The 16,438-nt window shown below is 41.4% G+C and overlaps 2 long non-coding RNA genes across 2 annotated transcripts in view; one reads left to right on the top strand and one right to left on the bottom strand.

Moving 5' to 3' along the window:
- The window catches only part of LOC643339 (uncharacterized), a 373,979-nt gene extending 370,589 nt beyond the window's left edge, over positions 1 to 3,390 (top strand). The window contains exons 4-5 of the long non-coding RNA NR_040096.1: positions 2,550 to 2,634; positions 3,325 to 3,390. This is a non-coding gene — a long non-coding RNA (uncharacterized LOC643339). The remainder of the gene's footprint in view (positions 1 to 2,549; positions 2,635 to 3,324) is intronic.
- The window catches only part of LINC02413 (long intergenic non-protein coding RNA 2413), a 28,863-nt gene extending 12,460 nt beyond the window's left edge, over positions 1 to 16,403 (bottom strand). The window contains exons 1-3 of the long non-coding RNA XR_945212.3: positions 16,338 to 16,403; positions 3,175 to 3,411; positions 919 to 1,054 (exon numbers count right to left, since the gene is read on the bottom strand). This is a non-coding gene — a long non-coding RNA (long intergenic non-protein coding RNA 2413). The remainder of the gene's footprint in view (positions 1 to 918; positions 1,055 to 3,174; positions 3,412 to 16,337) is intronic.
- Positions 16,404 to 16,438: the final 35 nt, after the last annotated feature.

Genomic DNA, 16,438 nt, shown 5'->3' with positions numbered 1-16,438 from the left:
TGTGAAAAACCTCTGTCCATTACTAGTTGTGTGAATTTGGGCAAGTAATTTATCCTGTCTGTGCCACGAATTCTTCATGTAAAATGACACCCGCCTTTTACTGTTGCTAGGATAATTAAATGAGATAATGTTTTAAAATGCCCCAAACAATGCCTGGAGCACAGCAGGCTCTCAATGGACTCTAATGGGATTCAGCTCTGCATTTCCCATAGTATGACCATGTGGGCATCATAAGTGGTAAAAGAAAGAAAAAGAAAACACCCAAAGGGAATATAAAGGTTGCTAATAGAAAGAGAAGAAAAGATGTGGAAGTTGAGAAGGAGAAGTTACAGTGGTCTATAGACTCATTCCAGGATTGGTGCGAAGTAGGAGATAAGTGGCGGAGAGGCTCTGGGTTTTGAAATTGGACTTCAGAGACCTCTCACTTTTAATCTACAGCCCTTTGAAATGCTAGTCATGCATGAACAGCATCCTATGCACTCCAGCACTAATAAATTTTTCAGCAGCTCCACTTTGAATTGAGCCTAATATCTACAGCACAGTTATTCTCTGAACCATAAGAACAGTGATCACAGCAAACTCACAGTGAGGGAAGATTTGCTCAGTTTGGCATTTGAAGCTTGCTAAAACCTTGGCTCAACCTGAATCTAATTCATACAGCTCCCTAACCTAAAGGATGCTTAAAACATTTTCCTGGCTCAATATCAAGCCCAGGCTCCCTAAGGCAGCCAGTCACCACCTCTCTCTTCCATGTCATCTCACTGCTCCTGGCCTTAAACTTCGTGCTCTCATAGCAACCCTGAGTGACCTGGAGGCCCTCTTTCTCCCTACACACCAGTACATTTTCTAACCAGTTTCTTTGCTCAGAAGTGTCCTCTCCCCGCCTCGCCTGCACGATTGCACGTGATTCCTACTCACCTCCACCAGGAAGCCTTCTCTGATGCCTCTGACTGGGAGAGGTACCCCTCTTTGCATAGCCTGCTCCACACATCATGTTAGAGTTCCTGGTTCCTCTTGATGACTCTGGGCTCTTTGTATCCACAGTATTCAGTGCCTGGCTTAGAGAAGGCTGTTGTTATCATGAGCGAGCCCTTTGATCCATGTAAACCGCTCACCCTCTGTCCCAGGGCTTACCATTCTTACTGGGATATGTCCCCTGCATTTTCAGAATGCCTGAAACTCTTGCTCGGTGTATTGTGTGCCTCTTTGTGTCACTGTGTATTTTGCTATCTGTTTAAGCCTTTCCCAAACACAGAGTATTTGGGAGAAAGACAGCAAGCAGCTTTTCCATCTCTATCCTCAAAACTTTAATTTAATGGCCAAACACATGGAGGTGCTTGATAAATAGCTGTCAGTAATGAGATGTTGATTTCTGTCTTCACTCTAGCTTCCACCCTTTTCCCATCAAATCCCACTCATCCTTAAGGTCTACCTCTTCCATGGACTGTTGCTTTTATTTTTCTTTAGAACACTTAGTCATTCACTGTACTTCACTTTTGGCTTATTATATTCTTATTTATTTATTTATTTATTTATTCTGATACAGGGTCTCACTCTGTCAATCATGGCTCACTGCAGCCTCGACCTCCAGGACTCAATCAATCCTCCCGCCTCAGCCTCCCAAGTAGCTGGGACTACAGGCCTGTGCCACCATGCCCAGCTAATTTTTGTATTTTTTTGTAGAGACGAGGTTTTTTCATGTTGCCCAGGATTTAACTGTTCTGTGTATGTACATAAGGTATCTCATACAAAGTTGTTTTTTTTTTTTTTTACAAAATTGTCTGTGTCTCATATTCTTTTGTAGCACTCTCCCCTCTGATATGTAAAATCATTTTCCTTCTTAACCTTACCAGGTTGAGATGAACAGGAAAGGACATCATATAAAAGCAGGTGAATGCCTTGTGTATACACGTTTGGGAAAATATGAAGTGTAGGTCTGGTGGGTTTGGGGAGTGATAAGGAGAAAATGAAACTAAAAGGACATTTTATAGAAGCATATTTAAGGATTAGCTGCTTAAATAATTGTTGTATTCATTAGCTTAATGAAAATGCTGAAAATACCTCAGAAAGGTGGAATAAAATGGGTCAAAAGTAAGAAAGACAAAAACATTAGTTTGGCTAAAGAGGGCAGTGCTGTGTGGTGGTCAGACCTTTGGTGTTAAATGAGCTGAGTTCCATTCCTTGCTCCTCCATTCACCATGAGACTTGGGCAAGTAACATCATTTCAAACCTCTGTATATCAGTAGTCATTTCAAACCCATTGTATAACAGGGCTGAGAGTACCTACCACATAGAGTTATTGCAACAATTACATGAGCTAATGCAGATTAATTCAAAGCCTGAGACAAATTAGCTTTTATTTTATTTTATTTTATTTTGGAGACAGGGTCTCGCTCTCTCACCCAGGCTGGAGTACAGAAGCATGATCTCGGCTCACTGCAGCCTTGACCTCCCAGCCTCAAGCAATTCTCCTGCCTCAGCCTCCCAAGTAGCTGGGCCCACAGTCATGTGCCACCACACCTGGCTAATTTTTATATTTTTTTGTACAGATGAGGTTTCATGTGCTGCCCAGGATGAGCCACTGTGCCCGGCCAAATGAGCTATTTATGATGATCATAAGGACACAAGATAAGGGTAAGGATGCAAGAGATTGAAGTGTAGAATTACTGTTGGTCACCGGGGGTGGTGGCTCACACCTGAAGTACTAGCACTTTGGGAGGCTGAGGCAGGAGTATTGCTTGAGGTAAGAGTTCAAGACCAGCCTGGGCAATTAGCAAGACCCTGGTCTCTACAAAATATTTGAAAATTAGCTGGGCATGGTGGCATATGCCTGTAGTCCCAGCTACTCAGGAGGCGGAGGTGGGAGGATCCCTTGAGCCCAGGAGTTCAAGGCTGCAGTGAGCTATGTTACCACCACTGCACTCCAGCCTGGGTGACAGAGCAAGACCTTGTCTCTTGAAAAAAACAAAAAAGAAAAAAACTATTACCATTGGTTAGTAATTAAGGAAGCAAGAGGCTTTTCATATGGAGCCAGCTGGGACCACAGCTACTTGGGGAGCTGAGGTGGGAGGATCGCTTGAGCCCGAGGCTATGGTAAGCTGAGATTGCACCACTGGACTACAGCCTGAGTGGCAGAGCCGACTCTGTCTCTAAAACAAAAACAATAGTACTTACTTAACAGAACTACTGGGAGACGTAAGAGGTATAATAATTGTAGAATGCTCTTAGCGTAACATCCATCATGCAGTAATTGCTCAATAATGTTAGTAAAATCTCCCAATGAGAAAGTTCAACATTATCTTCAACTCTTCTTTCTTGCTCCAGAAATCCAATCAGTTGCTACGTGCTGATGATTCTGATTCTGGCCCTGCAGTATCGCTTGCATGCACCTCCTCCTCCCTGTGCTCACTGCTGGAGAAAAGAGAACCTTGGCTGATGATTTATGGATCTACAAGTAATCGAAGCTTAACTGCCACAAAAATAACTTTATCCAGTCCTCCCCCCCTCCCCTGCACCTTCTCTAGTTAGCGCTGTAAGAACTTGGTTGCTCAGGTGGAAGGCATATAGATTGTATTGTATTTGAATAGCTCCCCAGGTAGCACAGTAATGTCTCTGCACTTGATTAAATAAGTCAGGTCAATTTTTCTGCAAGTTTTCCTCCATTGCAGCACTAACATCCACATTTAATTTGTTGCTTTATTTAACACCATCATCTGCTTTCAGGGCAAAATAAATAAAAAGGAACAATGGCCGGCCAAGGTGGCTCATATCTGTAATCCCAGCACTTTGGGAGGCTGAGGAGGGTGGATCACAAGGTCAGGAGTTCAAGACCAGCCTGGCTAACATGGTGAAACCCTGTCTCTACTACAAATACAAAAGTTAGCCAGGCACAGTGGCACGCGCCTGTAGTCCCAGCTACTTGGGAGACTGAGGCAGAAGAATCGCTTGAACCCAGGAGGCGGAGGTTGCAGTGAGCCAAGATCATGCCGCTGCACTCTAGCCTGGGTGACAGAGCAAGATTCTGTCTCAAAAAAAAAAAAAAAAAAAAAAAAAAAAGGAACAATTTGCCAGAGGAAAACCAGTTAGCTAAACCTGCTTTGCTTTGGCCAATCCCATGTTATGTGTCAACTGTCTCATTACAATTTGTTTATTTACAGGGAAGCCGCCAGTGTCTAAGATGTAAGGCATTCAGAAAATTGTGCAGATGATGGATTCACAGTACCTAGAATCCCCATGACTCAGTTTTCCACAAATGTGCTATTTGGGGAAATGCACACAGATCAGCAACTATTCACTTTTGCTGGCAGCACAAACATTGCTGACACGCACTCTTCCAAATTGCAAGCAGTTTCCACAGTGAAAACAATGAGAACAGAATCACAGCATTAAACAGTTGGCCGGGAATTTTAGAGATAACTTAATCTACCCCTTTGTTCTGGACACAGTCCTGTTTTAAGCTGTTTTGAATAGATAAAAAGTCCATGTTATTTTAATAGGTCTTCATCAGTAACCGTCTTCAAATATGACCACTCTCCAAATTAGACAGTAATTCCTCCAGTCTGGACCAGACAGTAGGGTTTCCTAGCCCAGAGCATTTGTCGACTTTCTCTTGTTGGTAAACAGCCAATTTCAAGGGTTTACCCATCTCTTCCCTGTATGTCTCGGGATTAAATTCTGATCTGTCTCAGCTTGCCAGTGACTGGTTTGGAGGGGGAAAGTGACCCAGTTCTGTGAAATAAAACCGTGGCAGGTCAGGCAAGGGGAGCTCCTAGATGCTTTTCTTGCTCCTAAAAGAAGACCTGTAGAAAAGCAGGTCATAGCTGCCATAGCTCCCTTGCCTCCATGAAGAGAACCAGCCAAAGATAAGGCCATCATAATGATGGTGGCAGAGCACAGATATGGAAAAAATATGGGTCTTTTTTTTTTTTTTTTTGAGACAGGGTCTCCCTCTGTCACCCAGGCTGGAGTACAGTGCCACAATCTCCACTCATTGCAACCTCTGCCTGCCAGGCCCAAGTGATCCTCCCACCTTGGCCTCCTGAATAGCTGGGACTACAGGCTCATGCCACCATGCCCGGCTAATTTTTGTATTTTTTATACAGACAGGGTTTCACTATGTTGCCCAGGCTGGTCTCAACTTCCTGGGCTCAAATGATCTATCCACCTAGGCCTCCCAAAGCTCTGGGATTATAGGCATGAGCCATTGTGCCTGGCCAGAATCTGAGTCTTTGATAATATTATTGAGACGCTGAATCAACCAACCTGAAACCACCCTACCTCAGAATTTTTTTGCTATGTGAACTAGTAAAATGTCTTTAGTGTTTATAGATTGATGACTAGAAATCAGTGGCTTTTTTTGTTTTTTTTTTTTGGTTGAGAATTTTACTGTAGAATGACATTCAAGATTCCATTCACAGGTAAAAGTCATTCCAGAGAATGGAACAATATTTGACATGCAAGCATTTAAAGAAAGGAGAGGTAAACAGTGGTAACTACTTCGGATTCACTGAGACCAAGCGTGCCAAGCTAAACATTCCTTTTTTGATAGGATTAGTAGATTACATGCCGGAGGAAGTCACCACCATCACATATTGGATTTCAGCAAGCATTTGATAAAATTGCTTATAATATTTTGGCCAATATTGGATGGAAAAATATTGAGGAGATGATGTAGTGCTGAAGAAAGACAAGATGCTGAGGAAGACAAGACTGGTTAACAGATCATGGCATTTTAAAGGTACAGTGACAGCCTTGAAAAAGAAAGAAATTCTGTCATTTGCAAAACAGAGATGGACTTAGGGAACATTATGCTAAGTGCAATAAGCCAGGCACAGAAAGACAAATACTGTATGTCTTCACTTATATTTGGAATCTAAAACAATCAAACTCATAGAAACAGAGAGTAGAATGGTGGTTACCAGAGGCTGGGGGCTGGGGGAATGAGGAGTTGATGGTCAAAGTATACAGCCTCAGTTAGACAGGAGGAGCAAGGTTGTGTTTTGGTTTGGTTTTGAGATAAATTGCACTGCGTGGTGAAGGTAGTTAATAATCGTGTATAGTACTTTTCAAAATTGCTAAGACAGTAAATTTCCAATGTCTTCACCACAAAAAAAAAGTATTTGAGGTGATGTATATGTTATTTAGCTTGATTTAATTACTCCGCATTGTATTCATAAGTCATAACATCATGGGCTGGGCCTGGTGGCTCACGTCTATAATCCCAGCACTTTGGGAGGTCAAGGCGGTAGATCGCTTTGAGCCCAGGAGTTCAAGACCAGCCTGGGCAACATGGCAAAACCCTGTCTCTACCAAAATTACAAAAGCTAGCTGGGCTTGGTGGCGTGCACCTGTAGTCTCAGCTACTCGGGAGGCAGAGGTGGGAGGATTGCTTCAGCACGGGAGACAGAGGTTGCACTGAGCCGAGATTGTGCCACTGCACTCTAGCCTGGGTGACAAAGCCAGATCCTGTCTCAAAAAAAAAAAAAGAAAAAGAGAACCATAACATCACTTTGTACCTCATAGGGATAGAAAGGGGGTGATCCCTTTTCTCCCCATCCTGAGGGTCCAAGCTGACACTCCTATAAAAAAGGACAGGTTAACAAGAGAAAAGCATACAAATTTATTTAATCATAGTTTTATATGACATGGGAGCCTTTAGAATGAAGACCCAAAGATACAGGTAAAACCATCCATTTTTATACTTAGGTTCCATGAAGAATGGACCGCAGTGTAGAACTGTGTTTGGACAGAAAAGGTATAATCTTATGGAAATAGACCGAGTGGGGAATCCCAGCAAGGCCTGTCTGTTAAGGTTCTTCCTGGCCTCTCTGTGCAGCTGTCTTCCTTCCAGGTATGAGGCAGAACCCTTTTTGGAATGAGTGTCTTATGACCTATCGTTAAACAATGTAAGTCAGAGATTTCTTTATGGCCAGGTCTTACACAGGAAGGTCGGGGAGTGGCAGGAGGTTAGAGTAATGTTTTTAGGTTTTATGGCTGGCTTTGAGGAACAGGAGTTCTAGTTTCTATAACACACCTTGGGGAAGAAGGATTATAGTTTTTATGGCTAGCCTCGGGGGAGACTGATGGGCCAGAGACAGGAGGGAAGGAGAAGGTCAGAGAGAACTTGCTTCTGAGGCTACCTCTGAGGCCTTCACTTTGGGATATTGTTTTCTGAGCCACAACAATCTCATAAATATATACAACTATAATCTGTCAATTTACAATTAAAATAAATTTTAAAAAATAAAGATACTGTGACAGGTAACAAACAGATACATGGTTCAGGCAAACAAAGAGGATGGGGGAGGTTGGCAAGTGTCTAATGGGAATGGTGGGCACACTAATAAGTGGGCAGTGTACTTGAGTCAGGAGCAAATGGTAGTCCTCGGCAGGCAAGAATGGGCACCACAGAAAGATGGACAGGCCACAGGCTTGTAATTTTAGTATTGGGGTATGGGTGGGGAGAAGTCTCTGCATGAGGATATATGCAAAATGGATGAAAAGATCCCAAGTTTAAACATGTTTTTAAAAAAATATAAAGGTACTCCAGTTAGAGAATAATGGGGATAAAAAGCAGTTTATTGAAACGGTAATTTCAGAAAGCATTGGCCAGGTGCAATGGCTCATGCCTATAATCCTAGCACTTTGGGAGGCCAAGGCAGGAGGATCACTTGGGGGCAGGAGTTCAAGACCAGCTATGAGTTTGGGCAACATAATGTGACATCATCTCTACTAAAAACAAACAAACAAACAACAACAACAACAAAAAAAAAACAAAAAAAAAAAACATTAGCTGGTTGGTGTCGCACATGCCTGTGGTCCCAGCTAGTCGGGAGGCTGAGGCAGGAGGATCACTTGAGCTGGGGAGGTCGAAGCTGCAGTGAGCTGTAATGATGCCGCAGCATTCCAGCCTGGGCCACAGTTAGACCCTGTCAAAAAAAAGAAAAAGAAAAAGAAAAAAGAAAGGGTCACATGCATGGCAGAAGCTCGGCTGTTAGCCCTAAGGGCCAGCACTGTACAAGGAGGAATCACAATCCTGTGCTGAGTTCTAGATTTTTGGTCTGGAGACCTTCAAATTCTGAGTATTATCCCTAGACAAATGGGGGAGACCACGCCCATAGAGAGAAGTCAGGTGGCCTAAGCTATAGAGAGGAGGGATACAAAGGGAAAGAATCAGGAAGTGCCTTATCCCCACGTAGGGTCAACCAGTAGGTCTATACCAGCTTTGTGGGAAAGCTCTTAATTATTTGTCTGAGAGCTTTGTCTATGACTCTGACCTATTCAAATAGTCATTATGAACTTGAATGAAAACAAGGATATGAAAATAAAATTTGTGAACAACACAGAGTTAGAGAAAACCTTTAATGCATTGGCTTCAATAATCAAAAAGTTGAGTGTAGTTAAACCTGGATAAGATTATCAGCTCCTCACGTGCCTTTTTCCAAGTTTGCAATAAAATACTAATGAAGACCAAAAAAAAGAAATCATAAAACTCAATTCACAATACCATATACTGAGACAATGTATGAGAACTGGCTTGTTGTGAGAATCTCAGAGGAATTTCCATGAATGGCAAGGCCAAGAGTGACTAACTGAAGGAGTTAAGTAGTGGATCCCATGTGCTGATGCAGGAAGCTTGCTTGAAAGAGTGTGTCTTGGCCGGGTGTGGTGGCTCACCCCTGTAATCCCAGCACTTTGGGAGGCCGAGGCGGGTGGATCACGAGGTCAAGAGATCGAGACCATCCTGGCCAATGGGGTGAAACCCCGTCTCTACTGAAAATACAAAAATTAGCCGGTGTGGTGGCACGCATCTGTAGTCCCAGCTACTCGGGAGGCTGAGGCAGGAGAATTGCTTGAATCCAGGAGGTGGAGGTTGCAGTGAGCCAAGATCACCCCACTGCACTCCAGCCTGCCAGTGGAGCGAGACTCTGTCTCAAAAAAAAAAAGGAAAAAAAAAAAGAAAGAGTGTGTCTTTCGCCTCTGCTTTCTGCCTCTGAATCAGAAGCCCAAGACCAATCTCTACCAGAAGCATAAACAACTTCAGGTATTTAGCTTAGACTGTGTGTGTGTGTGTGTGTGTGTGTGTGTGTGTGTGTGTGTGTGTCAGAGAGAGAATTTTTTATCCTCTCCATCTAGTAAGCCAGTTTTGTGCATACCATTTATCAATGTATTTTTTGTTTCACCAAGGTTTTTTTTTTTATTATTAATAATGGAGATGGGGTCTCACTATATTGCACAGGCTTGTCTCGAACTTCTGGCCTCAAGCAATCCTCCCTCCTTGGCCTCTCAAAATGCTGGGGTTACAGGCATGAGCCACAAAGTTTTGATGCCATCTCTTTCATAAATCAATATCATGTGGTCTGTTTCTGGGTTGTTTCTATATTCTGTTCCATTGTTTTATTGTCTGTTCCTGGGCATTATCAAATTGGTGGTGGTGTTTTTTAATTACCCTGGTTTTGTTACATGTCTTAATATATGGTAGCCAAATTCTCCATTTTCCCCACTTTTTTTTCTGAAAGTTGACCTTTTTCATGTAAATTAAGTAAGTACCTCTGACCCCCAAATTTTACTGGGATTTTGGTGAGAATGGTATTAAAAATCATAGACTAGTTTGGAGAGAATGAGAGTCTTTGCAATGGTAAAGAGTCCCCACATGAGCATGCCTTCTGTCTGCATGTATTCTTTAAGTGCATCAGGACCATCAACCCAAAGTGTTGTACAGGGCCTGCTGCATCACCTGACAGGCTTTGAAATGTCAACGCAGGCTCCGCCCCACCCCCGAGCTACCGAATCAGAATCTGCTTTTTAAACATCCCCAGGTTATCTGGAGGTACGTTAAAGTTGGAAAAATACAGCTTTCGTAGAATTTTAAAGATTTCTTCAAGAGAAGCTGGGCATTTTTGTTAGGTTAATTCCTAGGTTAATAGAGCTCAGAAAGGCCTCTGGAACTCTGCTGAACTCTATTCACAATTCTAAACAGATTCTGCCAATTCTCTTGTGAGTTTTCTGTGAATATTTATATCATCTGTAAATAATGACAGCTGAGTCTCCTGACTCTCTTTCTTCTGATCTTTTTGCTTACTTATGTCTCTTGATCAAAATTCCCAATATTACATGGAAGAAAAGGTAATTTAAAAGGCCTCATAGAGGCCGGGCATGCTGGCTCATGCCTGTAATCCCAAAATACTTTGTGGGGCTGAAGCAGGACTGTCTCAAAACAATTTTTAAGACAGAACAAAAAAACAAGAGGCATCCTAGCTCATTCTCAACCTTAAAGGAAATGCTTCTAATATTTACCCAAGAAATGTTAAATTTGCTGCTGATTTTTGGCAACTTAAAAAACTTTTTATCTATTACTGGCTTTGTAAACACCTTTTTCAAAAGTTCACAATTGATTCTCATATATAAGAGAAAATCGTGTGATTTTGTCCTTTAGTACATTAAGGTGGGCTGGAATTATGGGAATGAGCCACCATGAGCCAAACATGGCTCATTAACATGGGCCAAGGCAGAAGCACAAAGTTTCTCAGGGAGATAAATTGCTCTTATTAGATGAGCTTGATAAGTATTTGGAATAAAAGAATACATACCATGGCTTCTAAGATCAAGTGTGAAAGAATACATACCATTGTTTTTTTCCCATGGTTTTTTGGTTCAATAACCTAGATAAACTTTGAAAATGATTTGTAGAGATGAATATCCTCAGCCATCCCTCATGCAGCTATTTCCATGGTATGACATGGCAATTACCTCACGGTCAAGTTCTACTTTTGTTTATTGTATCAAAACCTGATGCTCTCGACCAGGTGCGGTGGCTCACACCAGTAATCCCAGCACTTTGGGAGGCCGAAGCAGGCGGATCACTGGAGGTTAGGAGTTCGAAACCAGCCTGGCCGACATGGCAAAACTCTGTCTCTACTAAAAATACAAAAATTAGCCAGCCATGGTGGCAGGTACCTATAATCCCAGCTACTCGGGAGGCTGAGGCACAAAAATCGCTTGAACTAGGGAGGTAGATGTTGCAGTGAGCCGACATCGCGCCGTTGCACTCCAGCCTGGTCGACAGAGGAACATTCTGTCTCAAAAAAGAAAAAAAAAAGTGATGCTCTTAACTTCAATCACCACCCCTGTATAGGTGTGGTGTAGAAGACCCGGGCACAGCAATTTGATATACTACCCCCGTGCACGATCTTTTCTCTATAGTTAAAAATTCTGATCCGTAAAGCCCAGTGTGGTTTACAGTTGTGTGTGGACTGAATGGAAGCCGCTAGTCCAAAGGACACCCCATTGCTGAAATGTAATGTGCCAAGCCAGGATTGTCTGTTCTCTTGACGCAAAGCAGCTTAGCAGGGTCCTTGGCAGTCAGGCATCAGTGGGCTCTTCTCAGTTGACTGATTATGACAGTGTTGCTTCTCAGTTCCCAGTGTGCACGTGTGCTTTGCGCAGTGGTTCTTGGTTCTGCAAGAATCCACTGAAAGCCCTTGGTATAAAAATGAAAAAGAAAAAAAGAAGACTCATGCTATTTCCGGAAGTTCATAGACTTCCCAAAGCCATGATCCAAGTAGGAGTCCGTGAACTGTAAGTTAAACCCCTGGCATAGAATCAGAACACAAAACAAGGCTAGAAGCAACACAGTGTGGTTGGCTTTAGGCTTCAGTAGAGCCACAACTTGTTTTCTTGACAGTTCGTTTTTTAAGTGAATAGTTGCAGTAATAGCTGAACTAAACAGCAGAGATTTGGGGAAGTGGCAGGATGCAAGATGTGCAAAGTTGTACAGATCTGATCAGACCTTCAGCTCCTTTGAAGAATTGTACTAACAGCCCCAAACATCCCTAACCTTCTGCAGATTTATTTTTATATAAGCTTCCAGAGAATAGTCATCATGGAGTAATCACACGTGGAAGACTGCATAAGGACTATGGATGACACTCAGAGCCTTCTCAGAACTGGGCATTGATTCTAATACCAGGTTCCTGAGTATTTGTTACATCCTATGTCATGGCCATATCCATTCATTTACTCAGAGAGTCATTCATTTATCAAAAATTTAATTGATATCACCATAAAGTCTGCTGGGCCTGTTAATGATGAGTTTTTTTCTTCTCCTTTACCAGGAATTATTACCACCCCCCCCCCAAAAAAAATCCTTTGTTAGTAACGATAAGCCAAAGGAAAAAAGATCTTATTTTCATTTAACTGCTACAGCATGAGTCTTCATTCAGAGCAGAGCAGAGCATGAAAGAAAAGTAGGAAGAAGATTCGCAATTCATCTTTCATGTCTGATATGGTGGTGGGAAAAATAAAATAACAATCATGTGGGAATTTTACATCTAATCCTACTTTTAGATTTTAGGTATTGAACACTTGTGTAAATTTTAAATGCAGCCAAAATATATATACAAAGGGATAAAGGGCACATCTTTATATTTTTGGAGAAATAATGGAAGTGCTCAAACACATGCCTTTAATTACATTTTAATAGATCAAATTATTCTTTAATCAAATCCATTTGTTGTTTCAAAGAAGTAAAATAATTAAAACCATTGAATGGGACATCTTGCTATTTATAACACTAATTTATACTTTTAATTAACTTCAGAACATGTGGTTATTTTAGTTGGGCTCTGGAGTTTCCCTACCCTGCACTACTAGAAACCACCATTGACTACAGAATAGAAAATTCCAGCAAAGTACAAAGTGAATTCTTACTTTGATTTAGTCTTTCTTTTTTTGAGAAGGAGTCTCACTCTGTCGCTCTGTCGCCCAGGCTGGAGTGCAGTGACACAACCCGGCTCACTGCAGTCTCTGCCTCCCACGTTCAAGCAATTCTCTGCCTCAGCCTCCTGAGTAGCTGGGATTACAGGTGCCTATGACCACACCCAGCTAATTTTTGTATCTTTAGTAGAGATGGGGTTTCACCATGTTGGCCAGGCTGGTCTTGAACAACTGACCTCATGATCCACCCACCTCAGCCTCCCAAAGTGCTGGGATTACAGGTTTGAGCCACCGTGCCTGGCTTTTTGATATAGTCTCGTTTTGTATTTATTTGTTTTTAAAACCACGTGTAATTTTTAAATTGAGATTTACTTTTTTTCACTTTGCAGAACTATTAGTAATAGCTTTTTCAGGACCAAAGTACGAAGAAATTTGGGAAAGGACTGGTCTTTTTCTCATGCTCTGAAACCTTCAAGAATATAAAACTAAAGTATTACAGACTCCATTACGTTACTAATTGCTGGTAGCTGCTAAAATGTAACACTGTTTATGCTGATTTTCTGCAACCATGGAAAAAGTACTGACAAAAATAGGTTTTGCATAAGAAAAAAAAATAAAGTGTAGATTAGAAATGATTTATGCTACATATTCTCCTAGACCTGCATTGTCTAATATATAGCCACTAGCTTTATGTGGCTATTAAGCACTTGAAATGTAGTGATGGGGAAGAAAAACTTTTCCTCCATCTTCTTAAGTTAAATAAATTAAACTAACAAAAGACAGATTAATAAGAGAAAAGGCACACAATGTTTATTAATAGTTATGTGCATGGGAGTTCACATAATAGAAGTGAAACTCAAAGAAGCAGTTAGACTTGAGGGCTTATATACCATTTTAACAAAGAGAAAAGAGTTTGGGCTTCAAAGGATGGTAAATCATAGGGAAGTAACTACAAAATGATGAGAGAACCAATGGAAGGTAAAGGTTATTTTAGTAAGTTCTGTTTGTGCAAACTCATCTCAGTGTTGACTCCTCCTCTCCAATGATAATAGTCATTCTTCCTTTCCTGGCAGGGGAGGGTTGGAGAGGGGACCTGCACCAAGGGAAGTTTATGCTCTGATTTTAGGCAGATAAGGAGAGGGCAGAGACCTCCTTCCAGCGTCTGTTAATTCATAATTGCTTTCAGCTCAAAATAATCGTTTTGCCAAAGTGGCATATTTTGGGGTGGCTAATCTCCTTCAGTAGCAGGTCCAAATTGAGATGTGCTATAAGATTATAATACACACATAATTTTGAAGACTTAGTATGAAGACAAAAGAATATAAAATATCTCATTAATAATTTTTGTATTGGCTGAGTGTGGTGGCTCATACCTATGATCCCAGCACTTTGGAAGGTTGAGGCAGAAGGATCACTTGAGGTCAGGAGTTAGAGACCAGTCTGGGCAACATAGTGAGACCTCATCTCTACATAAAAATTTCTAAATAAAATAATTAAATAAAAAAATAATTAATAAAAAATTAAATTAAAAAGTTAAATAAGGCCAGGCACGGTGGCTCACACCTGTAATCCCAGCACTTTGTGAGGCCAAGGTGGGCGGATCACCTGAGGTTGGGAGTTCGAGACCAGCCTGATCAACATGGAGAAACCCCGTCTCTACTAAAAATACAAAATTAGCCAGGAGTGGTGGCTCATGCCTGTAATCCCAGCTACTCAGGAGGCTGAGGCAGGAGAATTGCTTGAACCCGGGGGGTGGAGGTTGCGGTGAGCTGAGATTGTGCTATTGCACTCCAGCCTAGGCAACAAGAGTGAAATTCCATTTCAAAAAAGAAAAGAAAAGTTGAATTAAAAAATTAGCCAGGATTGTGATGTGTGCCTGTGGTCCCAGCTATTCAGGAGGCTGAGACAGAAGGATCATTTGAGCCCAGGAGGTTGAGGTTACAGTGAGCTCCACTGCACTCCAGCCTGGGTGCCAGAGCAAGATCCCATCTCAAAATAATAATAATAATTTTTATATTGATTATGTATTGAAATTATACTTTTGATAAACTGAGCTAAATATGTATTATTAAATTAATTTTATCTGTTCCCACTTTTTAAAATGTGGTTACTATTACAACATTTAAAATAAAATGTGGCTCATATTATACTGCTGTGAGTCAGTGTTGTCCTGGATAGTAAATAAATGACTCAAGCAAAGAGTGTATTTGGTTTCTAGTAGGGTGGTCTTCATCATCAGGCAGACAGCAGATGTTAGCTAATTTACTAGAGCAATTGCAATTTAAACTCAGAAGTAATTTAAACAATACAGAGACCTCCTGGGATGCTTGGACAAGTGGAGAGTATTTTTGTTCTTGTATTTGTTATTTTAAACTTTCAATGATATATTGGTAGACTGAGGTGAAACTTTTCATATCCACTTCAAAGACAGCCCTCAGTTCTTTAGAATGTAAGATAAGAACAATAAATCTTGAGGTGAAATGATAGAAATAAGATCAATTTAAATAGTAGGGGGATCTGATGAAATGCAGTTAACTTAAGAGCATTCCCTGGTGTCCAACATCCATATAAAAAAGGTCACCATTTATGGAAATGCAAGGTAGTAAATATTACCTCCCAGGCATCAACCTAAGAATTGAGTGAGGGATTGAGATTACTAATAATTAAGACAAAAAGTATTATTTTGCACTAGCCCCCATCTGCTGATTCTCGGAGCTTTTCCGAATCTTTCTTGATGACTTAAGATGGCTGTGGGGATGACTGTGAATGAAACCTGAGGAATTTTTTTGCCCCACATTTTCTCTTGGTTTCTCAATCCTGTAAGGGCTCCCGGTCTTTTCCAGGGTATTTTAGGACCACAGATTGCCACCTATGACCTGCCTGTTCTACACCTGCTTCCTTGACTTTGGTGGAGTTGTCACTCCTCACAGCTGCTGCCTTCAGCAAAACACTCTCACCTTTGGGTGCCAAAAGCAGAGCAGTCCTGAGCTTCTACAGCAGCCTGTCCCCCTCTACTGAAAACTAGCAACTTTCTAGCTTCTTGTTTTATTGGGTTTTTTTTTTTTTATATTTATATTAACTTTATTCCTAACAGCCAGAAACAGGAAACAATACAAATGTCCATCTACTGGCGATAAACTAATAAACACACTGTGGTATATCCAAACAATAAAATACTCTCCACAAAAAGGAACAAACCACTGATAATATAACAGCAAAGGATGAATCTCAAAAGCACATGCCAAGGAAAAGAAGTCGGATGCAAAATACTGTGGTGGAATACTGTGCGGTTCCACTCAGGTGATGCTCTGGAAAAGGGAGAAGTACATGGATAGAAATCAGATCACTGGTCACCAGGAGCTCAGGCTGAGGGGAGGGGACTGACTCCAAAGGGTCACTAGGAGGCTTTCTGGGGTGATGGAAATGTTCTGAATCTTCACTGTAGTGGCTGGTGATTGCATTTCTCAAAATTCATAAACTGAATACCTAAAGAGGTGAATTTTACCATATATAAATTATACCTCCATAGAACTGGGTTAGAAATCTTATTTGCACAAACATTCTGAATTATCAGAATGTTTTTTATCCAAGGTGAATATCACCTGTGGTCAAGATCTTCTCACCAGGATGGTCTTCTTGCAGTCCAAGACCCAGCTACAGTCACTATGTCCGGAGTGGGTTTTTTTTTTTCTTTTTAGATGAAGTCTCACTCTCCACCATATGA

This window comes from Homo sapiens, chromosome 12, assembly GCF_000001405.40.
Source record: "Homo sapiens chromosome 12, GRCh38.p14 Primary Assembly".
Lineage (NCBI taxonomy): Eukaryota > Metazoa > Chordata > Mammalia > Primates > Hominidae > Homo > Homo sapiens.
This window is presented reverse-complemented; position numbering and strand designations above follow the sequence as displayed.